We start from the raw sequence: 25,129 nt of genomic DNA, 5'->3' as shown, positions 1-25,129 counted from the left end.
AAAAAGAATGTAGCCACATCCTTTACGGCAACATGGACACAGCTGGAGGCCATTATCCTAAGTGAATTAACAGAGAAACAGAAAAACCAAATACCACGTGTTCTCACTTAGACGTGGGAGCTAAACATTGAGCACTCATGGACATAAAAATGGCAACAATGGACACTGGGAACTACTAGACAGGGTGGGAGGATCGGGGCAAGGGATGAAAAACTAACTGTTGGGTAATATGCTCACTACCTGGGTGACGGGATCAATTGTACCCATAACTTCAGCATCATGTGATATACCTATGTAACAAACCTGCACATGTATTCCCTGGATCTAAAATAAAAGTTGAAATTATTTTTAAAAAAAGGAAAAACATCAATACCTGGTACTTAGTAATACTGCTAACTGTATGTGTTAGTCAATGAAAAAGGAGAAAATATAATTAAACAAATTTAGGAATGAGAAAGATGGCAAGACAATAGACATACACAATATTTTAAATGATGAGAGAAAATTGAATAAGATGGGAAAATAAATATCAACAAAATCAACGTAAGAAGAAATAGAAAATCTAAGTAGAGCAATAACCTCAGAAGAAGTTAAAAAGTAGTTAAAGGTGTATGCATTAAAAGGTACCAGGTCCAGATAATTTTATAGACCAGTTCCAGAATAACATTAACAAAGATGTAATTTACATACTGCTTAATTGTTTCAAGGCAAATAAAAAAAAGAAAACCTTCAGGATTACCTATGAGGCTAACAAAATTTTGCTACAAAAACAGAATAAGGAGAGAAAACACACAGATACACACACACGTGTACCTAAGACCATAGAATTTTATGAACAATGCCAAAAACTTTAAACAAAATATTAAAAAACAAAATTTAGCAATACAGTAAAAGAATAAACAGATCATGTTAATAAAGGTTTTATCCCAGAAATGCACCCCCAAAAATCTAATATTTGTTACAATAACAGATTAAAACAAGCTTCCATTATCCTCCATAAGACCAGCAAGTATAATTCAGCAACAGAAACATCAACAAAGACATGGGAAATGAGCGCTCTTGTACCTTGCTCATTGAGAGCAATCTGATCTGCATGAAAATGTTAAATGTACATACCCTTCGTCCCAGAAATTCCACTCTTGAGATTTATTCTAAGGACGTATTCACGTATGCTCAAGATATGCACAAATATATTCATTGCGGCACTGCTCATAATGAAGGAAAAGTGGAATACTATAAATAGCCATGACTAAATAAATCATTACTTGAATGAATGCCTCCAAAACACATTTGATACAATTCAATACCCATTCCTGATTAAAAAAAAAAAAAAAAAACTGAAACAAGCCAAGATGAAAAACTTTCCCAATTCAATGAAGGGTAACTGCCAAAACTAGAGCAAACATCATCCCTACAAAACAAGGGCCAAGAGATGTAAACACTGGAAAGAAAGAGCAAAATTTATTTTCATTTGAAGATTATATAATTTTCCACCTAGAAAATCCATGAGAACCAAGTGAAAAGGGATAAAAACCAATAAGAGAATTCAGAAACACAACTAAGAAAGGACACAATACATAAAAAACAATAGCTTTCCTGTACACCAGCAATAGCCCATTAGAAAATACAATGAAAGAATGATTCCTAGACTCACTTAAAGCCCAAACTGGAAAACACCTTAGAGGTAAACATAACAAGAACAAGGAAGAAAACTAAAAAACTTAACCAAAATGACTCTATAAGAAAGACTGAATACATGGAGAATCATGCCACATTCTTGGAGAGGATGACTCAATCTTTTAAGAAAATAAATTCTCCTCCAAATTAGTCTGTAAACGCAATGCAATTCCTACACAAATCTTAACTAGACATTTTTGGTGCAACTTGACAAGGATATTCAAAAGTACACCAGAAACAGTAAACGTGCAAGGAAAATCTGAAGAAAACAAAAGAATAATGAAGGGAAAATCTGCATACCAGAACATGCTACAAGGTTACAGTAACTAGCATAATGGTGCATCTGCCATGGGAATGGACAAATACATTAGTAACACAGAATAGAAAGTCTGGAACCAAAGACCAGTATATTGAGTGTTTATAATAAAATGACATTTCAACATAATGGAGAAAGGATTCAATAAAAAGGATTGAGAGGGTAGAATGTCCATCCATTGAAAATTAGATAAAATTGAATATCATTTCAGACCAGACAAAACAATAAAATTTCAGCTGGATTGAAGATGCACATGTAATAGTCCACAAAAAGTGTAGACTTTGTTTTACATCCACAAAAGTGTTACAAACAAGAACAATATTTTTATGTCTTGGGTTGGGAAAGGCCTCCATCAACCAGAAATAAGGCTTGGAATTCACTAAGGGAAATCTTGACCATTTGACTGTATAAATGCTATGCAGAAATGGAAATATACTTGCAACATACACAACATCGGAAGTGTTAACTATCCTTTAAACTGTAACTAATAAAATCTGATAGAAAACTGAACAAGAGAAATAAACAGGAATATTCACGATAAAAACAAATTGTCAATTAATGTTTGGAAACAAGTGCTCAGTTACGCTAGCGAGATGGAGAAATGTACATTAAAATTATAAGCCAGCATTATCCTCCAGAAGCCTGTGCAAAAAATTAAATTATTGATTAAGCGTAGACAATGAAATGGGGAAATGAATCACTCTTCCTGAGGAGGAATAAATTGTTAAAGGGTTTTTGCAAAGCAATTTGGGATCTGAAATTTTAAATGTGTACCCCTTTCAACCCAGCAATTCCACTTCTAAGGATTTATTCTAAAGAAATATTTCCACATGCTCAAAATTATGCACAAAACTATTTCTATTTTTTGTAATAAGGAAAAAATGGGACAATATAAATCTCCAGTGTTAGGGGAATAGCTAAAGAGTTTGTGCATCCCTGTTACAGATTATAATGCAGCCATGACAGAGGAGGAAGTCAGGTTGTGTGGGGACTCTTTCATTTCTCTTCCTCGCGTGCCTTTCTGCCCAAGACCCTGTCTCTTCCCTTCCTCTTCATCCCAAGGACACTCACCATGATAGAGCCAACCACAGGGCCTTTGATCACCCACCACAGAGCTGTGCTGTCATTCATATCCCAGCAGCTGAAAGATGGACAGAGAGAAGCAAGATCACGTCTGTGAGTCGGCAGCATAGAAGCCTGCGGGACACTGCCCTGCCTAGCTGGGTGCCCGACACTTTCACCACCGCAGCTCTCTGAGGAGGGGCTGGCTGGAACAAGAGCTCTCCAGCGGGCTACAGACTCCAGCCTGGTCCTGGCTCTGAAAATCCCCTCCTTCTGAGCCTCTATCTTTCCCTCTGCTCACCTATCAAGGCAGGGCATGAAGCCCAAAAGTCAGTATCACCAGTGAGCTCCTGGGAAAGGACCATTTTTCCCCATAAGACCTACAGCTCTTAGGATGTGACCTCCCCCTCAACATGCTTCATCCCCTCCCTAAAAGCAAAACAGACACTCAGCTGAGTACAGAAGTAGACAAGGGCTCAGACACCTAGCACATTCTCTTGCTGGGTTGCTGGCTGAGACGCAGCTGGGTGGGTCACCTGCATGGGGCCATGGCTCAGGTGGTGCCCAGTGCTGGGCTTTAGTCTGGGCCTGGCATTGAATGGTTTGTTGCGGGCAGTTCATGTGAAGTCAGGGCAGCTACTGAGAACCCATCTGTAAGAATCTACTCTGTGCTGTGGCCCTGACTCTCGCGCATGTACTAACCCTGTGTCATCAAAGTAGAGTCTCAGCGTAGCCCACACTGTCACACACACAGTTGGGGTCCCTGGGAGAACAAGAAAAAGAGGTCCGTGAGAACAGGAAAACCAACATGTCCAATGTCCACCGTAGACCTGGGGCTCCGAGAGGCTATTGCTCCCCCATGAGACTTGGAATTCCTGGGAATTCTAACTGTCCCTCACACCCAGGCCTCCTGAGGGTCTATATCTCCCTCAGACCAAGGGCTGTCTTGTCTCTCAGAGGACTCCTGGATTTAACTCCTCCCTGAGATAGTGGGCTTTCCACAGGCAAGAAGATTGAGAAAGAGTCCAAGACAGAGCCTAGGCCATTAGACTCGGGCAGGGCAGTGGCCCCTCCTCACCTGACACTTCCTGAAGATGGAACCAAAGACACACCTGGACACACCTGACCACGGGACCTGAACCTGTCCAAGCCACAGCCAGGAACCTACCCCAGCCAATGATGGTGTACCAGTAGAAGTATCTCCTTTCAGGGAAGAAGGTCTCCACCAGCAGAGTGAAGAGGTACAGGCCCTCGATGAACAGCCAGAAGTAGTTGGACACAACACAGTAGTGGAAGAAAACCATGACGGCCTTACATTCCACCTGCAGGGAGAAGCGCCAGGGTGAGGGGCGTGAGCCCAACAGGAACAGGAGCAAGGGAGAATCCTAGGGCCCGTTGGCTCTGGCATGCTCAGGTTCAAACATCCCAAGGATCTAAGAGAGTCAATATTCCTGGATCAAAGAGTTGAAAATTGCAGCATCCCATGATTCTGAGTCAAAGCTGCCCATGGAGGCAAAACTGCACACACAGGACAAAGACGGGTGGCAGACACAGAGCCTCCCCACCACCAGCTCATCCTCCTTCACTTTCCTGCTCCTTCCCTATCTCCCACAGAGGAGAGGAGTAGGGAGAGAAGCAGCCAGAGGACCCTGCAGGAGGCTCCTTGGTATAATGAGGATTTGGACACCTTTCAGGTGGGGGGATACATATTCCTAGCTTCCAGAAATCTCTACTCATAGAGGCTCCCCAAGCATGTCCTCCTGGTCAAGGCCCTGGACTTTACACTCTTCTTCCTAACCTACCTCCTCAAAGACCAGCTTCTCCACATGCTACCTCCTCCAGAAGTGTGAGACCTGGGGAGGTGTCTGGAAAGACCCCTGGCCAATCAGCACCTGGGCTCCATCCCAGGCTAGTTAAATGACCAGGGGCTAGGTAAGCCCTCTCTCAGCATCAGTTTCCTCTTCATTCAAGTGGGACTTGGTGTTCCCACCTGACCTTCCTCTTCTGCCTTGCCAAATGCAACACCCAGGCCAAGAGACAGGAAGCATTTTGGCTGGAAGTGATGTCGTACATTGGCTCATCAGCTACTAGTAACTTAATTCGTGAGTTTTCACATAAACCGGGGGGGTGGGGCAATGCCTTCACCTGCAGGGACACACTTGATCTGCAGGGTGTCAGGCAGGTAATGTGCGTCCTGGGGAACCAAGGGGATGGTGCGGGACCTTCCCGGCAGAGCCCTAATGGGTCTGCTTGGCTCACTCACAGTGGAGATGAAGCAGTGGTTGCTGTCCTGCTCCGCATACAGAATCCAGTCTTTGATGAAGACGGAGATCGCCCTCAGCATGAACGACACAAACAGGTTCATGTGGATGAAGTTGCGTGTGCAGTGCAGCTTCCTACATGAGTGGGCCAGGGGAGAAAGAAGCCTTGGACCCCACAGCATTTCACACCCTCCATGTGGGCATCTGTGGTGGGCCAACTCTGTGGCTTTATCTCAGCAGGTCTCCCACCCAGGCCACCCTCCTTCCTGCCACCTCTCTAAATCCTCACTGACTTCCAGGCCCCTATAACCCAGCTCCACCACCCCACATGGCCAGACTTCTCCCTCCTGTGGCCTCTGTCTTTCTAGACCAGGAAGACAAAAGCAAGGAATGCAGATCTCCTGCCCAGGCTCTGCCTGGCTGCATAGCCCTGGACAAGTCAGTTGCCCTCTCTGGAGTGAAGTTTCCCATCTGTTATCCTTGGGGTGGGAGAAATGCCTTCAAAGGGGTCTTCTAGGGCTGACATCAAGGGGGGAGGGGAGAGATGCACCAAGGCCTCTGAGGCCCTGGCCAGCTCTGGTGCTTGCTTGAATGTTGCTGAGGGTCTCACCGGAAGCGACAAAGGATGACCATGGCAGTGGTGAGGGTGACGAGGGATGTGCTGTAGCCAACCGTGTAGAGGGCCTTCACTGACAGGTAGTAATAATCCTGAAGCAGAGCACAGGACATGCAGGACTTCATGTGAGACCTGCCCACAGCCAGGCTGCCTCAGGCCTGCACCCAGTCTCCCAGGCCAGGGCCTGCCCACCTCCAGGCCTAGCTCCTCCTTCCTCTCTTCTGCTGATATCATCTCCACCACCTCCCACCCCTGGCCAAGCCTCTTGGTCCCCTTTGCACACTGTCAGCATTCTGCAGATGCTCAATATATGCTGTTGAAGGCAAGAGCGCTGTCCAATCAGAACAGACACAGCCTTGGACTACACAAAGGTCCAGGAAGCCCCTTGCTGGGCCTGGCATTAACCCAGTGGCATTAATTCCAGTATCCTGTAAGAGTAGCCAGGTGCAGGTGGGGAGGAGTAGGCAGCATCCCAGTTGCTTCTCAGCCCCAGCAGGTGCTCATGAATGCTGCCTACTGACCTAAATTTCCTCAGCCCTACCCTCACCACCTCTGGGGAGCAGGGTGCAGACACTCACCTGGTCCCCAGTCTCAGATTCATATTCATCAAACCCACAGGCATCAAAGTAATGAGGGAAGGGTTCCGACCAGCCATCCTCCGTGCAGTTCCGGCTCACCACTCCCATGTCTGCAGCAAAAAGAAAACTCAGCGAGGCCCAGAAATGATTAAGAGGGCCCTGAAATTCTTATGCAAAAATTACGTATTCAGTGGGAATTCCTGGAAACCCCTATGACCAACTGGGAAGCATGGGGAAAGGTTTCAGAAATCAGTGATTGCTGATCAGAGGGATGGAGAGACAAAGAGCAAGCTCATCTCAACCAAAGATGGGGAGACTGCGCCAGCTGAATCCAGCATCCCTGCATCCCTCCCCTCTCGAACATTTCCAAATGCTCATCAGGGATGGGCCTGAGTCCTCCCCTGGGCCCTGGATCAGCACTTCTCAAATGTCAGTGTGCAGAACCACCTAGGAGACTGATCACAAATGCAGATTCCAGGCCTGCCCTTAGGGATTCTCTGTCAGGAGATCTGGGCACTTTCAGGAATCCCCTCTGGTGACTGCAGGGTGTGGGTGGGGTCCTTGGCACACCTTGGGAACACAGCTTGATGTGATGCTTTCCCTCAGAGCTCTAAGCCTCACAGCAGCTGCAACATCTCACATCAAGGGGACACAGGGCTTGCTTCATTAACAAGGTCCAGATTTCCACTAACGTAGGGCCGGATCTTACGAAGATATATATTTGGGTTTCTTTTAAAGTGTTGTCTTTCAGAGTTTGGGAGGGCTGTTTCCTGTCACTAATGTACTTTAATTTGCTTTTGGTTGACTTTAAGGCCATTCAGTGGGACACTCGAGGGGGTGGGATCAGTCATGGCCATTAAATGAGTCATTTGCTGGCTGCACAGTGAAGTCCAGGCTGGTTTTTGCCCTGCCCAGGGCCATGTTAGTCTTTCATGATTGCTTTTTCACTCTCCCTTCACCCGATGGTTTATAATGGTGAGCCACTCATGTCCAGGGCAGGGGGGTGAGCAAGCAGCTCCCTTTTCCTCCAGCCCAGCACCTGAGTGTGGCCCCCGCCTGACACTGGGAGCGTACCCGGTCTATCAGGACACATGTGGTTGGTTCTTCCCTTCACAGCATTCAAAGACCAAGACATTGTATAAAACAAGAGACACCTGCAGAAAAGGGGCTCCAGTACCCATACTGCTGGACAGAAACCTCCCCTCTGTGGCCAAGGCCACCTCCAGGGAGCTCAGGAAAGAGGCAAGGAGGGCAGCAGGTCAGCCTCTGTGGGAGGCAGAGGCCAAGAGAAGAGATCCTTCCACTTTTCCAATCTGTGTCCCTCGCTTCCTGCATTAGAAGATCTAAGGCCAGTTCTCTTTAGCCAAGAAAGTCAGAAATGAACTTCCTGGGATGGGTAACTCTGCCCGAAAGGAGAGTTCTGCCCACAACAGGGAGACTCCAACAGTCCTTCTCCAGCTCTGAGTTCTACGGCACAGGCTAAGGGGGAAGTTTGGCAAGCCCAGAGAGAGCAAAGGAGCTCACTTCTGTCCCACAGCTGATGCCAAACTGTCCCTTCTTCCAGCAAATCTGTCTCAGGCAACCTCCTTTTAAGTCCCTCTGAACACTTCTTTCAGAAAGTCTGAATGTCCCAGGGAAATCACCACCGTGGCCAAGTTCCTTCCCCTCCCTGGGCCTCATTTCCTCTCTGCTTTGCTCACATCAGGATGGTGGGAAGAGGAAAGGGAAGCTGCTTTGAAAAACAATTTTTTTGAAAACAGTGTTCTAGAAGGAAAAGCGGTTTCCTTTCTTTTATTTTCCTTCTTTCTTTTTTTCCTTTTTATAACACAGTGTGGGCTCAGAGAAGTATAAACCCTTTTGTTCAGAACTGTTCTGTGAATTTGCCACTGTATTGTTCTGATAGAAATCTCCGGAAGATGGAGTGCTCTTGAGATTGTCAAAACCCCGCGGTCATTGTGCCTACTTCACTAGGCTGATTCGCCCCAGTAACTGCACAGGAACACGAAACTTTTGGGCAGCGTTTCCCGAAGGGGTGCCCGTCCCGGATCAGCCCATCAGCATCACCTGGGAGACTGGCGAGACAAGCACATTCTCAGGCCCCACCCCAGGCGGAATAAATTAGAGACTGCCAGGAACCTGGGTTTAACAAGTGCACAAGGTAGCTGTGATGCACGGTTAAAGTTTGAGAGCTACTGTTCTAGATGCTGGAGTTCAGAAACAGTCAAGGATCATCCAATCCAGGAGCTCTTTATTTGAAGTCCACAAAGGGACTCTAAGACATCTGTGGCCCCCCTGAAATTCTACACACGATGTTCTATCTGTGTGCTTTTCCATGAAGATAATCTGTACCTTTATCAGAGAAAAAAAGTCACCTGCCAAAGATCACACAGCCACAGAGGAGCAGAGCCCAGCCTGGGATGGGGTTCTCAAAGCTCACATGTCAGCAGACGCCCTCCCTCCAGCCAGTCCATGGTCAACCCCAGCCTAACCCCTTACCTGAGAGATCTAAGGAGTTACTGTCACCAAAATCAGACTCTCCTGAAAAATACAGACATAGGCATATATCAAAATGCCTGGCTTACAGTTAGCTACTGTTTACTCTCCACCCTGGAAGGCTCAGGCTACCCCTGGTCTACAGGAAGTAGGGGATGGAGTCCTGGCCAAGAGGCAATATCACACATAGCAGCCGCGCACCTTTCTCACACACTACACCTTCTAACACCACTCTCACTTGCTTTGCATTTCTGTGACGTTCAGGATGGTCCAGGACTCAGTTCTCCACCACCACAGGTAATGGAAATGGGCACTGCCAGGAGGATGGGAGGGCCTCCAGAATGGAGAGGAATGGGAGAAAATGAAAAGGGATGGTTGGGCCTTTTCAAAAAAAGGGCAAACCACAGCAACGTGGGCCCAGGGCTTGGGGTTTCCTTTTTGGTGCTCGACCCTCCACCTCAGCCTCCAAAACTGCTCTCCGTCAAAGGGAATCCAGAAGACTTCATCTTCAGACAATTTTTCTTCTCTCCCTACCCTTTATTCCCATTTCCACCCTTTTCTTATGCCAAACCCCCTGTTAGCAATGAGACCCCATTTCCACCCCATCCCCGCTTCTCAAAACTCCTTTCCCAAGGTCCAGCTGACATGCCACCTCTTCCTGGAAGCCTCCCCTGACTTCTTCACTATTCTGCCTGCATGCTGCATCATTTGCTCTTCTGTTCTCTTGCTCACTGTGCATTCCGGCTTCTTAGCTGTCAGGGATGTCAATATCTGCATGGACTGATGCACATGTTCAGGTCTGGGCATATGCACATATATGCAGCTACACTCATGCGTGAGCTTGTTTCTTAGCCCCTCCATTGGTAAGTCCTGTCCTCCCAAACAAGCCTGTGAGGGACCTGAGGTCGTGCTTGTGTTGTGCATCTTCCTGTGCCCCCCGACCTCCAGAATGGCCAAGGTCGGGGAGAGGGGAGGAAGGAAGGAGGAAAGAACCTGATACCCAGTGAGCCTCTTACTCCACCCCCACCCCAATCCCAGCAGCCGGAGCCTGGGATCTCCTGAGGCTGGGCTCCTGCTGGATGGACAGAAAGACAGCGGTCTATCCTCACCAAGGTTCCTCTTACCAATGGTTTCGGTCTCCCAGACTGAAACAGAGAGAAAGAGAGAGAGAGAAAAGTCAGAGGTGAGCAGCGGGGTGAGAAAAGTCAGGGGCTGCTCTCCTTGGGTCTTGCTGATCACTTCCTCCTCCTTCCCAACCCCAAACATTAAAGAGGGGCTCTGGGGGACCCAGAAGGCATCAGGACTATAAGCTGGGGACACTGGAGACCTCCAGAACAGAAACAAGCAGAGGCATTTGAGAGGAGGAGGGAGATCCGTGCTCCCACATCTCCAGTCTCTCCAATATCCTACACAGCCACAGTCATCACAACAGGCTACCTGGGAACTGAGAAGAAACACAGGAATCCCATTCTCTCCTTGCAAAGTATTCAAGGCAAGTCTCACCAATCAAGTTTTGTGAACAGAGGTGCTAAAAGGCCCTGCCTTAATGAACCATTAAGAATCAGGTGTAAATAACACCTTCATTGTGCCACTGCCAGAGGAAGGAGGGAGTGTGGAGGAAAGTGTGTCTTAAGAAAATCTTATTTTACCATTGATTCATTTTGCCTTTCGTTGTTGAGAAGACGGAGTCTGGCATGGAATCTGACCCAGAGTAGATGTTCAATAAACAAACTTTAAATAAATGACGGAACGAAAGAAATACATGAATGGAGGAAGTGATTAAGTTGGCTTCTACAGGAATGAATTGGAAATCAGGCTGAATCACTCACTGGCTGCCACCATGCCTGACTGCCCCCCAGTCCCACTGTATCTCTCACTCCAGCACTTCCGCTGCCTGTATCCCCTTTCAAAATTCACTCTGGACTGCTCAGGTCACACCCAATCCCCAGGCCCTCAGATGGGAGAGTTCAATGCCACCCTCCTCCCGGGCCGGCCGGTGGTCTGGAGGTGGAGGTGTTGCTGCAGAGTGCAGTGCATCTTAGACAAACCTTGGGGTGGGAGCCAGAGACGGGGGGACCTGGGACCCCCAACACAGGCCACTGTTTTCTCTGCCACCTCCTGCAAGCCCCTCCCCCTCCAGGACAGAGTCAGTTATTGGAATTCGAGGTTTGACAGCAAATTAGCAAATTTGCCTTTTGCCTCTCAGAGAAGACAGGGGACTGCAGCAGGCAGGACTCAGTGCTGGAGTGGAGCCTGGAAACTCGCCCCTTCTAGGACATCAGCCTAAGCCTTAGGCTGGAAAAGAAGAACGCTAAGGCCAGGTCACATGGCCACACACAACTCAGATCCCTCTGATACCCTCGGGAGCCCCCGCCCATGGCTTGATGGCCAGGAGGTGGCTCAGTAAGTCACCTGGCTGGAGCCAGTCCCTCCAGCTCTCCCTGCCCAGCCCCAACTCAGTGCCTTCAGCTGGCCACCCTGCCTCCTGTGACACTCACAGGGATGGGGTAGAAGGCCCATGGAGGAGTTCACAGGTCCCAGCCGAAAGGCAGGAACCGTTCTGGAAGAGCCCAAGGGACCCATATCCAAAGAAGTCATCTACAGCTACCCCTTTCCCTCAGACACCCCCTGCAATGGAGATGGGGCTACCAGGGCTTCTGCCTGTGGGTAGAGCATCGCCTTCTCTCCCCTGCCCTCACCCTACATCCCACCTGTGCACAAAGCTCAGCCACTCTGCCCACTCACGGGCTGCTCTATCGTTTTGGTGGCCCCTGGATATCTCCACAGCACTTCAGTGGCCCTCAGAGACCTCAAACACAGATATGCCCCAAACCCAGGTCTGCAGGACACCGCACCCACCCAGCCTTCCCTCTCAGGGAGGCGCCATCGCACACCCGCGCCTCCAAGCCCACGTCCACAAGTCACCGACAGCACTGTGGCACTGCTCCCCGTGTGTGGCACCCTCTCCCCAGGTAGCCCAAGGTCCAGCTCCTCCCATCTTGAGCCCGTGTAACTGCCTGAGGGCAGCTAGGGCCCAGAAAATGCTCTGCTGAGCAAACGTGAGTGTGCGCCAGCCCCAACGGGCCTTGTGCCTGCGTCTAAGTGGCTCTGCATGTGGACGTGGGTGTCTTGTGTCCAGCTGCCTTCCCCACGCGTCTCATTCTGCCTGAGGGGGGTGTCTACATGTGCGTCTCTCTCCATGCCTCCCACTGGGCGCTGAGGATCTGTGGCTGTGGGAGGATGGTGACAATTATCCCAGCTAACATTTACTACTGCACGTTCAAAGCGCGCCAAGTCCTGTGCTAAGTGGCGTCCACAGCATCGCTTCACATTACCCTCACAGAAGCACCCTGGGAGGGGGCCACCGGGCCACATACCCAGCTGACAGACAGGGACCTGGGCTGGAGGGTGAGTGACAGCTGGCATGGATCCCACGCGTGAGGGCACAGCCTTGCTTTCATCCACAACGATGGTTCCCATGTGTACCTGTGTCCCCGTGTGTGCAAGTGTCTGTGGTTTCATCCCCCACACCACATGTGAGCTCAGGAGCAGGGACTGTCTGCCCACAGGGTGGCCTCCCTGTCCTTGGTGCTTGCCTGGGGCCGAATTTGGGGAGCAGGCTAGGCCAGCGTGGCCTAAAGAGACTGGGCTAAACCCACCTTGGTCTGGGTTGAAGATTCGGAAGAGCTCAGGGCAGCTGACCAGGACCATCTCACCCACATGGGCGGGCTTCCAACACGTGATGTTGTCCCACATCCCAGGACAGCCTGTGGGTAAGACAGCCATGGTGAGAGGGGCCAGCCACACACACCCATACACACACACCACCACACACATCACACACACCAACATACACACCACACACACCACAGACACCACACACAGCAACATACATGCTACACACACAACACACACACAACACCAACAAACACACATCACACACACACCACACAACAGACACCGCACACATCACACACACACACTACACATACATCACAGACACCACACAGCAACATACATCACACATACACCACACACACATTACACACACATCACACACACCACACACACCACACACCACTCACACATACACCACACACACATCACACACACCACACACATATATCATACACACTACACACACACATTCACACAACACACACATCACACACACATACAACACACACACATCACACATGCACCACACACACATTACACACACCACAAACAGATCACACACACACCACATATACCACATACACTACACACACACACACTACACACACCACACACATGCACCACACACACCACACACAATCACACATATACACCACACACACATCACACACACACCACACACATCACATACACACCACTCACACCAGACACATACACATCACACACACACCACTCACATCACACACACCATACACATGTAAGCACATACCACACACATCACACATGAATGTGCACACATGCACCACACCCACACACACATCACACATGTACACACACACCCACACTTATATATACACACACTGAGGTGTGCTCCACGGCTTACAAGCCAGGCCCTTGCAGGGGGCCGGGAGTGGTTTAGGAGAGGAAAGGCAAGGCCTACAGTCTGAGGGAGGGCTCAGCCCTGCACCGGTAATATCCCTCAAACAGGAATGGAGACGCAAGGCACTTCAGGAGCTCCTGGGTCGGGAAGGAGGGAGCCCTCACCTGTTTTTACACCGCCCCACACCCCCGAAGACCCGCAGCCCCACAGCTGCACAACATCACAGGTGTGTGGGGAGGGGAGACACAGCAGGCCAGGGCTGGATCCCTAGGAATGAGATGCTGAGATGCAGGGGTCTCTGCAGCAGCCTCTCCCACATGCCCACCCTAGCCCCTCCTCAGCCACCACTGAGGGTCCCACTTCAGATCCACCCCCTCAGCAGGGCCCCCCATCCGCCCTAAGGGGAGGGGCAGGAACAGGCTGGTCTAAGGCTGCTGCTCCACTCCCCCCACCTACTCCCAAGGCAGGCCCAGCAGGGGACACAAATTCATCAGCTGGAGAAGAGGGGAAAGCCAGCCAGGCAGAAGCCTGCACGCGCCAAGCAAGAATTGTGAAAGGACCCGGAACCAGAAGAGGTGGAGGCCGGGATTGCTGCAGAGGCCCCCCACAGCATCTCCAGACTGATGGAGAGGAAGGGACAGACGAACTGAGAGGTGTTGAGGAATCCCCAAGATTTGGTGCCTCATTGGACATGAGCTGCAAGGAAGAGGAAACTGTCAAGCTTTATGACCAGATTTTCAGGTCTAGGGGGCCCAGCGGCTCCCCTCTCCCGGGTGCCTGCCTCTCCTTCTAGCCCTGCCAGCCTCTGTAGAGTTCCCCGCACTGCCTGACACCACCTCTTCCTGCTCCATCCCTGCTTCTCTGACTCTGTCCTCCCACAATGCTGAAACACCTCTCACCAAGGTCACCAGCGACCTCTTCACTGCCAAATCCAAGGAACAATTTCAGCCCTTACTGGGTCCCGCCCAGCGGCCCTGACCGAATGCAGGTGCTGGTAGCTGTCCTGCCTTTGGCCGCCCACCCTGCCCACCTTGGATGAGCTCACCCTGCTCATGGATGTTACAGAATTTCATGTGGACAACTCTGTCCTGCCCACTCTGTGAGGGTAGAGCCCACAGCTAGTTGCCTGCTGGACACCCCCACCTTGAAGAACCAAAGATGATTCAAACACAGCAGTCCAAGACTCAGTGCAGCATCTCCTGCCCAAACCTGATTGCCTGTTCCAGCCCCAGCTGGAAACCTGGGAGTCACCCCACTTCAGCTCCTTCCCTTTAGTGCTCCTGATCAAGCCCTTGCTGGTTTTACCTTGAAACCTTGTGAAATCCATGCCCCACTCTCTATCCCTTCACCCTACTCAGTGAAGAGGCTCAGGACCCCTCACTGAGACCACAGGTACACAAACCCCACACAGCTATGACCAGAAGCTTTTCAAAATGAATATCTGGCCATGTCACAAGCCCCCCACCAACAATCCCATGCTTTCTGGGCTCTTAGCACCCTCAATCCTTAACATGGTATTTACGACCCTACCTACGGCCCTGCCACTCACTTTTCCTTCCAGCCTGTGGGTAGTGATTGAGGCCATGGGACGAGACAGCTCACTTTGAGAAGGGACATAAAGTGAGAAGAGCATGGAGGAAGGAACCCTGGAGAACCCATATTTATGGAGTGGGCAGAGGAAGCACAGGTAGTGATGTGAGCAGGAGAGAGTGGCAGAGGATGGTGGGGAGGCAGGAGTGTGGAGTGCCAGGCAGCAGAGTAGAGTTGCAGGAAAGAGGCCTGCAGCTTTTAGGGGATCATAAAGGAAGGCTATGGAGAGGGCTTCTGTGCCATGTCAGGGACAGTAGGTGACCGACAGTGCCCGCCTCACAGGGCTGCTGTGAGGATTAATGAGTTCATACGTGCAAAGCTCTCAGAATAGAGCCAGGCTCATTCAATGCCTGTTCACTGCCGACAGAATCATTAATTTCATTATCCCAGTTAGGTGTCCCTGGGAACCATTGCCCCGAGAGGCCTCCATAGGCAGGGAGGTAAAGCAGGGACCTGCAAGGTGAGATGGCCTGGGGCAGGGCTGCTGACAGGTCCAGAGGACCCCTGGGAAGGTGCTGGGAAGAGGAGGGGCCTGGAGCAGGCGCCATGAGCTCACAGTCTCTGTTGGGGTCTGTGACGCTTGAGTGCTATTTGGACCAGAAGGTATCCACAGCTTTTAGACGGAGAAAATCCTGTCTCTCAGAATTCACACCCGGCTATTTTGGAGTTCGCACCCAGTCACATTGGCCCATAGCATCCTGCTCATGGAAAGACAGAGTTTGGGAACCAGATGTACCATAGAAAGCTCTGAGAAGAATAACCCAAGAAGGCAAAGACATTAAAGGCCAGATGAGGGGAGCTGGGTATCAGGTCTAATAGCAGTAGGCCAGTCATCAATAATTCCTGTGTAACCATTAGCAGAGGACATCTAGCCAGCATGTGCTTGGCTGTGACATCATGTCCTTGAAAGAGACCCAATAGCACATCTTTGGCTACAGCAGCCCATGTTGACCGTGGAACGGCCGTGGAGCATGGCTGCGTCTGGCCCATGCCCCAGCCAACAGATGTTCCCTTAATGGAGAACATTAGGCTCAGGCACAGCCAGCTGCTGCTGCCAGCTGACACTGCCGAGGTCACAGGGCCACTTCAGAGCGAATGAGCAGGGTCATGAGTGTTGAGGGCGAGGAGGGCTGCAGAGGTCGGGCGGGTGGCACAAGGGGAGAAGGGGGCTCTCATGTTGGCAGCAGGACAGGGGATGCATTCTCCTAACAACTATTTACTGAGTGCCTACCTTGTGCCAGGGACCATCTATGCACCAGGGCCAGTGGTGGAGAAAAAGACAAAGCTGTGAAATTGATGTTTGAGGATAGAGTGAGGGGAAACGGCAGGTCTCTACTCAGCATTAGCACCGGAAGCCCCAAAACTTGAGTTCTGATTTCCTTCCGCCGCAGGCTCACTTGTGACTCAGGACAGTCACCGCCCCCTCCACCATGATTCACGTTTCCTATGTGCACAGGGACAACTGAGTGTCTCTGTGAGCTCCCAGCTTTGAGTGACCAGAGCTCAAATCTGGAACAGAGATTCACCCAGGACCTACTGGTGCCCAGAGGATGGCTGGGGCAGCTACAGCTGCCTAAAGGGCATCTGCTAAGGTGCCCCACCCCAGGCCGGGGCCTGGGAGCTCTCAGGATGCATCTTCCACAGCTCTCAAAGCCCTCCTGGTAACCCTTATGTCCCCAGCCTGAGCCCCCTCTAGAGTCCTAAAGACAATTCGTATAGTACCAGGGCAGGTGGGAAACCTAGAATGAGACCTCAGGACCCCAGGACCCAAAGACAATGTCCCTGACCCTATCGAGAGCTTGAAGGCCTCCATCCAGCCCTCTAGCCTGCATTGCTGGGGTCTCAAGAGACTCACAGCTGCCTCCCTGGGGCTCCCCAGAATGCCCTGGTGCCCATTTCTCTTGCAGTTACCACCTCCCAGCCTAGCACAGATGGGAGGACCCAGCAGGCTCCCACCTCCTCTCCTCTTTTGAATGGAAATTGCTCTGGCCTCAGCGGATTGGAGCTGAATCCTTCCAGGCCCCTTTCCCTGGAGCTTGGGAGGATGGGAGTTGGGCTCCTGAGACAGCCTTGGGTTTTTCTAACTAAAAACAGCAACTGATTTTCCTTCCACTCACACACAGTACGTCCAGCTTCTACAGACCCATATGTTCCACACTCCAGTCTCAACAAAGCTAAATTTTGTTGAGACTGGAAGATTTCAAGATGCCTTTTGTCATTCTTCTCCCCCTCCTCCTTTTATCTTTTTTTCTTCCCACTTTCTTCTCCCTCTCTCTCTTAATTACTCATTTATTCAAGACATACCGAGTCAGACAATGCAGAGCAATACAAGAGTGAATAGAAAGGGCCCAGTCTCTGCCTTCACAGAGCTCTTAGTCCAGTGGGTTGTGTTAATAATTTTAGATTTTTATGCTCAATGTTTAGAGATGACACTGGATGGTGTACTCATTCCCTACTGCTGCTGTAAGTTTGTAAGCAAACTTACTGTCTTAAAATGGCACAACTCATCATCTTATATTCCTGCAGGTCAGAAGTCTGAAATGGGTCTCACTGGGCTAAAATTAAGGTGTCAGCAGGGTTGCATTTCATCTGGAGGTTCTAGGGGAGAATCCATTTCCTTGCCTTTTCCAGAGTTAAGAGGCCACCCACATTCCTGGGCCCATGGCCCCTTCCTCCCTCTTTGAAACCAGCAGCTTTGCATCCTCAAGTCTCTCTTCTCTGATTCTCCTGCTTCCATCTTTCACTTATAAGGACCCATGTGATTATTCTGTGTCCACCCAAATAACCCAGGATAAAATTCTCAGTTCAAGATCCTTAATTCCCTCTGCAAAGTTCTTTTTGTTATGTAAAGTAACATATTACAGGTTTCAGGGATTAGGATGACGTGGGCCTCTCAGGCCGGGGTGGGGGCATTATTCGACCTACCACAGAGAGGCTTTAAGACAAGGAGTCACACTTGGATTTGGTTGTGTGGGGAAGATCATATAGTCCAATAGCAGACATGCAGACATGGGGAAGCCTGTTAGGACATGGCTATAGTCTAGGGGTGAGATGAAAAAGCTTGATTTGGAGCAATGGCAGCAGGGTTGGAGAGGAGTCCTGTGTCAGACAGAGTCGGGAGCAGAGCTGACAGGGCTTGGCAACACACTGGCTGGACCTGGCTGGCAAGTCTGCAAAAGACGGTTAGTGTTCACCCACATCACATGACTGAGGGCACGCCAATGGTGAGAGGGTGGAAGTGCAGAATCCACCTCTAAAATGTCCCTCATAAGCTTCCACAGCCTGCCTTTCTTCCTTCTCTGGACCACCCTTGAAGGCCACATGTTAAGGGTAGCAGTGTTCCAAGATGGTAGAAACCTGGATCCCTGAATGACTGTGTGAAGTTGAGCTCCACCTCCTACCTCTGCTGATCACACTGGCCTATGATACATGCACGCAAGAAATGTTACTGTGCTAAGTTTCTGAGATTTTAAGATTGATTTGTTACTGCTGCAGAGTCGAGGCCAACACAGTGCAGGGGAGAGAGGTACCAAGGATGTCTCCCAGGTTTCTGGCTTCAGCGTCTGGATGAACAAGTAGATTGATGGGTGGGTGGGTGGGTGGGTGGCTGGATGGATGGATGGATGGATGGATGGATGGATGGATGGATGGATCATTTACCACAGTGGAAAGGGCCAGGTGAGAACCAGATGTTGGGGGAATTAGGCAAGTTGGAAAGCAAGAGCTTAGTCTGGGGTATGTTCAGTTTGAGATGGTGCTAAGAGCCAAGAGGAGACAGCTGTCGAAGTAGGCAGCTGGAAAAAAGTCTAGAGTCTAGAGAAGTAGCAACTGGAGAAGAGGGCAGGGAGTAGGCAGCACAGGGATACTATTTAGTCCACGGACATGGATGGTTTTTCTAGTGAGAGAGCAAAGATCAGGGAAGAAAACAGGAGAGAATAGGCCGGGCCCCAACAGAAATGCCAGCATTTAGAAAAGGCCTTGGCAAAGAAGACTGAGGAAGAAAACCAGGACAGGCAAGGGACACAGCAGCCAGGAAAACATGTTTCAGGGAGGAGATGGCCGAGTGCAGCCCAGGCCAAGTTCCCGTCCTCCCCTTCGTCCTCCAGAGGTTGAAAATGAGAACAGATCCTGTTCTCTGTGAGACCTCTCCACTCCTGACAACACTCCAAGCCTCATGGCTCCATCTGTGTATAGGCCCCCACTGGGGGACATGGGGAGAGGAATTCAGGCCCAGGGGTGGGTCGGGGAGTGCTGCGTACACTCTCCCTAGCTGCTTCCACCTAAGACCTTATAAAGTGCCCAGGAGTGGCAGTGAAGTGTGAGAGCAGGAGGAAAGGGATCCACTCAGGCAGAGCGACTGAAAGAGAACGCATAAGCTATTAGCTTTTGTCTGGAACAAAATAAGGAGCTAATCCTGGGTTGTCATGGTGATGATTTTGTCCAGTTCCACAGTGTTCAAAACTCCATAGAGCAGGGCACCAAAGAGACTCAGGCAAAGCCATGGTCCTCCCTTTGAGAAGCCACCTGAGGATGCCCAGGTATTGTTAGAACAAGGTCCCCATTTTAGCATGCAATCTAAGGGTAAAAACAATTCAATTTACCGAAATTTACTTTATGGCCAATGTTTCTGTTCCATGAAATGAGGATCCCACTGTGAGCTGAGTGCTGGGGGTGGCATAGGACTAAAGATGCCGCCCTCGCCTTTGGAAGTCAGTGATTCTCAAGATATGGACCACAGACCGGCAAAATCACCTGGGAACTTGCTGGAAATGCAGATGCTCAGGCCTCATCCAGATCTACTGAATCAGAAACTTCTGGAGGTGGGCCCAGCAATCTGTGTTTTAACAGAAGATCTGATATTCAAGTTTTAGAATGACCAGACTTCACGAAGACACAAGTTTGGATAGAAGTGACACCCTGTGTCAGACAGCGAATAAGTTCCTCAGCATGAGGGTCCCTGCAGACACCACCCTTTCCTCAGGCTTGATGCCTTTTGAGTCTCAGAGCAGCTGAGAGGCCCAGACAAGAAGCTCCTCCTGCTCTAAGGATGGGGAAGCCTGGGCCCAGCCCTGATGTGCTTCCTTCCTCTTGGCCTCTCCCCTCTATTGAACGTAGAGAGGACTGGTTCAAGGCATTTGGTGCCCTGGGCAGGCCTCTGAGACCAGGTCAGAATAGCAATGAGCAGGCCTTTCCCTCCTCCCTCCAAGTCTGCTCTCTGCTGCCCCTGCCATGGCCACCACAGGCCTCCTCTTCCTCCTCCACTAGAGTGTGGGGACCCCCATGGAGGACCACACCGACCAACCCTGCTTAGATGCAGGGAAGGTTTCTGGGCTGATGAAAACCTGCAGCCCTGCAAAGAGGAGATGCTGGCTGGTCTCATTCTGGGCAGGCAGACTGCAGAAGGAACGGAGCCTGGGGGCTGTGTGGCCTGGAGATGCCAATTCCCAGGTACAGGCGTCCTTTGTCCCTCCCTTCTGGTCACAAGAGCACTGTGGGAGAAAGGGCACTCCCTGTCTGATATAACAGACCTGGATCCCACCCCAGAGCTGGCTCTGGCCCCCAATGTGGTTGGCCAATGACCACCACCTCTGGCCTCAGCCTCTGTGGGCATCATATGACAGAGCCAACTTGGTATTGGCTTAAATCCCATTAGCATTTGGGGGTTTGGAACAAGGGACAAAATGACTATGTCTCCAAACCCCCTCCTCTCCTCAATAAACACCTTTAAAACATGCCAAGGATTTTGCAAACAATGCAAGGCAGGCTCCAAGCTTGCTTTCACTCCCCACGGCCACCTCTCTGGGCTCTATTTTTCACCCCCATTAAGCTGCCTGCTACCATGGGTGCCTCCCCTCAGTGCATCTGTCTCCTGGCTACCACTCTGAAGGCCACTCTGCACAGCACCATCCTAGGTTCTCTTTAGGGTAGAGGTCCCAGGACCAGTGAGGAGCAGGGGCTTGAAGGAAACAAGTACTTTCCTGGATCCCCCTGGAGCCCCCCAGCCACACACACAGTGCCACAGACATAATTCAACTAACAGATCAGGGCTCTTGTTCCAATTGACTCATATTACTAGATTTAAAAAATTATGAGAGACACACAAAATATATACAAGTATATTAAACCTAGATAAAAGACACTGTTGTGAGTTTACACTCAACAGGCATTGGAACAAGCTGCCAGGTTTCCTTTTTCAAGTGTGTTTCAAGGACATCAGCTGACCTTTGGCCAGCGTTCTGTGCATGGCGTGTGTGCTTGGGGACCACCCGGGCAGGGAAGGTGCAGGAAAGAGATGCAGCAGGAGGACTGGCACGGATTAATAACACAACGCACAGATGTCGATTCTTTGGTACGCTCAGATTTGACTCAGCTAGTAGTGAGCTCCCCAGCCTGGTTTATCTGGGCCCTGAGGGGCTGCTCTCTGCCTGAGATCACTTGAGTACCCTGGTGGATGCTGTGCTCTGGCCAGTGGTTCTCAGACCTGGGTACACTTTAGAATCACCTGGAGGCTTTTAACACAGATCTGCATGGACCCCCCCAACCCAAATGCTGAGGACTTTGGTCTGGAGAGGGGCCTCGACATCAGCACCTTTAAATGCTCCTGGGGGCTCTACAGTGCTGCAGGTATGATGAGAGGGGTAGAGGCCCATCTTTCACAAGTGTGTTTAATTTGGAGCCAAGAAGCCCAGCTCCAGCCAGGGTACCCCTAAGAGCAGGCCAGAGGTTCTTGAAGGTTCAATGGGGGAAGAGTAAGGCCTCCCCTGATGAGTGACAGCAAGGTCAATGCTATCCCTGAACTTGAGGCCCTTGAGGGGAGTCCCCCAACCTCAGCCTGCAGGGCAAGCTCTTCAGACAACAGCCCCAAAGTGAGCAAGATGGACACTGCTTCTCAGGACAGCCTCCCCAGGGGCCTCCCCTCACCCTGGCCTGCCCCTCTCCTTCCCAAGCAAGTCATTAGAGGCCGAGACCTCATTCTCTCCTGGGCCTTAGAAACACAAACACCCTTTGGCCTTTTCATAGCTAAGAAAAGGGTGGACCTGGAGCACATTTCAGGGTCCCTGTCTCCCAAGGCCTCTTTCCAGCCTCATTGCAACTGCCTCTGCTGTATGACCTTTCACCCTGACAAGGGGAAAGCTGAGGGCCAGGGCGTCTCCTCACTCCTCTTCTGAGCAGCAAATGCAGCCCAGGGGTGAAGGCACGGACTCCAGAACCATCCACATGCACAGCTTGGCTCCACCTTCCCGGCTGAGGGGTTTACTAGGTAAGAGACAAGCAACCTAACGTCTCTGTGTCTAAGCAGCCTCATCTGTTAAGTGGGGGTAAAACTCTACCCAGCCCATAGGCTGGTGAGGGTTAAATGCGTTCTTGTACGTGTGTGTGTGTGTGTGTGTGTGCGCGCGCACATGCGTGCGTGTCTGAGAGAGACAGAGACAGAGAACCCAGTGCCCGCCTTGAAGTGCTGGCTGTTACGGTGCCCACCCACCTTACTCACTGCTCCCTTTCCACCCTTCCCCAGCGGAACGCTTCTCTCCACCTTCCTGTACTCTCCATCTGCCCTCTGAAGCCCAGATCTGCTCCCTAACTTCTCCCCTGCTCTTCCAGAGGGGCTTCCAGGATTGTTCCAAGTGGCGCTGACCTGCTTCCTAGAGATGTCTCTCTACTCCCCAGAAGAACTGGGATGTAGCAGAAGGTGGGAGCCCTGGAAACCCCCAACACTCCAAGATGACAGCTCCTAATAACTACAGTGTCTTAGTTAAGTGCTTAGTAAATCCCATACGCTGTCCTTAGCACTTCTCACAGGCTTTTATCACTTAATGCAATAATCCTATGTGGTAGGTATCATTTTTCCTCCATTTTTCAGACATGAAAATTAAGGTGTTAAGGGCCCTTCAAAGATCCCATGGCTGGTGCTGCGCCCGGGGGGGTGCTGGGACCCACAGCATGTCACTCTTTAGAGGTGGTGCATCCCAGCAGTTGAGGGTACAGGCTGCCTCTGCCTCTTAATGGACTATGTCCTTAAGCAAAGTACCTCCTTGTGCCTCAGTTCACTTATCTATAAAATAGGGGTCATAATAGACCCACCCCCACCCTCCAGCTGCTGTGGTGATAGAATGAAGTGCTGGCACAGAGCCTGGCACACAGGAAGTCTATAGAGGGTCTGGCTATTAACATGATCCACCCCACTCCACTCATTTTAAAAGAGAAGCTCCTGAGGCCCAGAGCAGGAAAGGGTCATGGAGTTGGTGGTCCAACTGGGCCTTTACTCTTTTCCTCTTTCCCACCTAATGGCTGCCCTTTGCTTCTGCTTAATTAGCTCAGCTCTATTTTATAAAGCCCCACCCTATGATTCAAGGGAGGGGACGAGTAGGGATAGATGAGGGATCCTCTCCTTAGCAGATCGTGAGAGGGTGCAGCCTCCTCTCCCACCTGGACAGGGTTAAAGGAGAGCTATTCACTCAATTCTTGGAGAATCCTTCACACCCTGACCTCCTATGGCCAGCCCTGACTCACAAGGTCCCTGAGAGGGCACAAGTGGAGCCCCTGGGGCAGTTGCAGAGATGCCAGCTCAGTGGGAGCCGGCCACTGTTTTCCCCCACCTTCATCTCCAGTGGAGATGACATGAAATACACAATATCTGCTCCCTGGGCCCTCAGCCATGCCCCCTCAATAGCCCAACCCATCTGCTCCAATACTGAGTTCCAAATACAGGAGGTTACTCACTACTGCCAAAAACACCAGGCTCCTGCCTCTTGTGGATTCCTCAGCCTACAGTGTTCACCCATTCGTCTGTCCCTCAATTCTCCACCACCTTCAAATGCCTACTTATCCCTTGGGCCTAGCTCAAGGGTTCTCAACACCAGCTTCTCATTAGAATCGCCTGGGGAGCTTTTAAAAACTATGGTGACTATGACAGACCCAAGCTTCTGATTTAATTGGTTTGGATTGTGGCTGGAGTACGTTTTTCTGAAAGTTCCCCAGTGATTCAGATGTGCAGCCAGGTTTAAGAAGCAAGGATCCAGTTTCAATATATGAATCCTTCCCACAAAGAACTCATCTCTTCCTCTCCTGAGGACACCTGCAGGTGAGACCTCCTCCCCAGCACTGGCCTGGCCCTTCCAGGGATGCTGTATTTCCAGCCTGGCATCCATCTCCCTTCTCTGCCACGACATCCCTGTGGACAGGCCTGTCTTGCCCTGTCAGCCCAGAGTTCAACAAGCAGGTGAGCAATTAAACTGCACACAGCCTACACCGAGGTCCCTGTCCCACCCCAGCCCCTACCTTTATTCTTCCCTCCTGGATGATTTTGTCGCTCAACCCCAAATGTATCTGAGACACGCAATGCAGGAACAATGGCCCTGGGTTGGGAGCAGGACACCTGGGTTCCAGACCCACCTCAGCCTGATCCTCCATGTGATCCACACCATCCCTGCCCTCAGGGCTCGGCAGTCCCATCCTCCAAACAGAGACTTGGACCAGATATTCTTGGGATATTCTTTGGGTCTCCTCCAACTGTGTGCCCTTCTGGCCCCCTGCCTCAGTTTCCCTCACTGGTGGGGCCCCGAATCCACGTTCAACCTTGGTTAGGGCTGAGCAAGAGCTCAGCGGAGGCAAAGGCCGGCACGGTCCAGAGTAGCTCCCTCACCAGTTAATGCTCACTGAGAAGCAACTGGCTGGGCAGCTCCGTCCAGTGGGACCATTCCATTTAACTGGGCTGCAGATTAGTCAAGTGCTTAAATACATGGTGCTCAGAGGAGCCAGGAGGATCCAGAAGGAAAATGAATCCCTCCAGCCTGAGCAGAGAGCCCTACCCTTAGGCAGCACGGAGCCAGTCCTTCAACGATTAAGGCAAAAGTGAGGTTGGAGAGGCCTCTGTGATGCCCCCTCCCCTAAATCCCCAACTTCCCCTGAGGCCAAGAGCTGAGGGCGCCTTTGCTCTGTGAGCCTTAGCTTCCCATCTGCACAATGGAGAGTTAGGAG

At 50.7% G+C, this 25,129-nt stretch overlaps 1 protein-coding gene across 10 annotated transcripts in view, besides 2 other annotated features; it reads right to left on the bottom strand.

Moving 5' to 3' along the window:
• The window catches only part of ADCYAP1R1 (ADCYAP receptor type I), a 59,167-nt gene that overhangs the window by 20,714 nt on the left and 13,324 nt on the right, over positions 1-25,129 (bottom strand). For 4 of the 10 annotated variants that reach the window (XM_006715645.4, NM_001199635.2, NM_001199636.2 and 1 more), the window contains exons 4-12: positions 12,663-12,770; positions 10,128-10,148; positions 9,007-9,048; positions 6,511-6,620; positions 5,927-6,024; positions 5,319-5,451; positions 4,224-4,377; positions 3,758-3,818; positions 3,065-3,134 (exon numbers count right to left, since the gene is read on the bottom strand). In XM_006715645.4, the coding sequence (XP_006715708.1) occupies positions 3,065-3,134; positions 3,758-3,818; positions 4,224-4,377; positions 5,319-5,451; positions 5,927-6,024; positions 6,511-6,620; positions 9,007-9,048; positions 10,128-10,148; positions 12,663-12,770 (797 nt within the window). The remainder of the gene's footprint in view (positions 1-3,064; positions 3,135-3,757; positions 3,819-4,223; positions 4,378-5,318; positions 5,452-5,926; positions 6,025-6,510; positions 6,621-9,006; positions 9,049-10,127; positions 10,149-12,662; positions 12,771-25,129) is intronic. The other 6 variants (XM_017011736.3, XM_047419879.1, XM_017011737.3 and 3 more) reach the window with 3 other exon arrangements.
• Positions 11,670-12,403: an enhancer, noted in NCBI's record as "H3K4me1 hESC enhancer chr7:31117973-31118706 (GRCh37/hg19 assembly coordinates)". NCBI's record gives its function as "activates a minimal SCP1, AML or CMV promoter by ChIP-STARR-seq in primed H9 embryonic stem cells {active_cell/tissue: H9 hESC(primed)}" and the evidence as "EXISTENCE:reporter gene assay evidence [ECO:0000049][PMID:30033119]".
• Positions 20,402-20,903: an enhancer, noted in NCBI's record as "H3K27ac hESC enhancer chr7:31109473-31109974 (GRCh37/hg19 assembly coordinates)". NCBI's record gives its function as "activates a minimal SCP1, AML or CMV promoter by ChIP-STARR-seq in naive H9 embryonic stem cells {active_cell/tissue: H9 hESC(naive)}" and the evidence as "EXISTENCE:reporter gene assay evidence [ECO:0000049][PMID:30033119]".

The sequence above is a fragment of the Homo sapiens genome, chromosome 7 (assembly GCF_000001405.40).
Source record: "Homo sapiens chromosome 7, GRCh38.p14 Primary Assembly".
NCBI classification, from domain to species: domain Eukaryota; kingdom Metazoa; phylum Chordata; class Mammalia; order Primates; family Hominidae; genus Homo; species Homo sapiens.
Note: the sequence above shows the minus strand (reverse complement) of the source record. Positions and strands in the feature narration are given on the sequence as shown.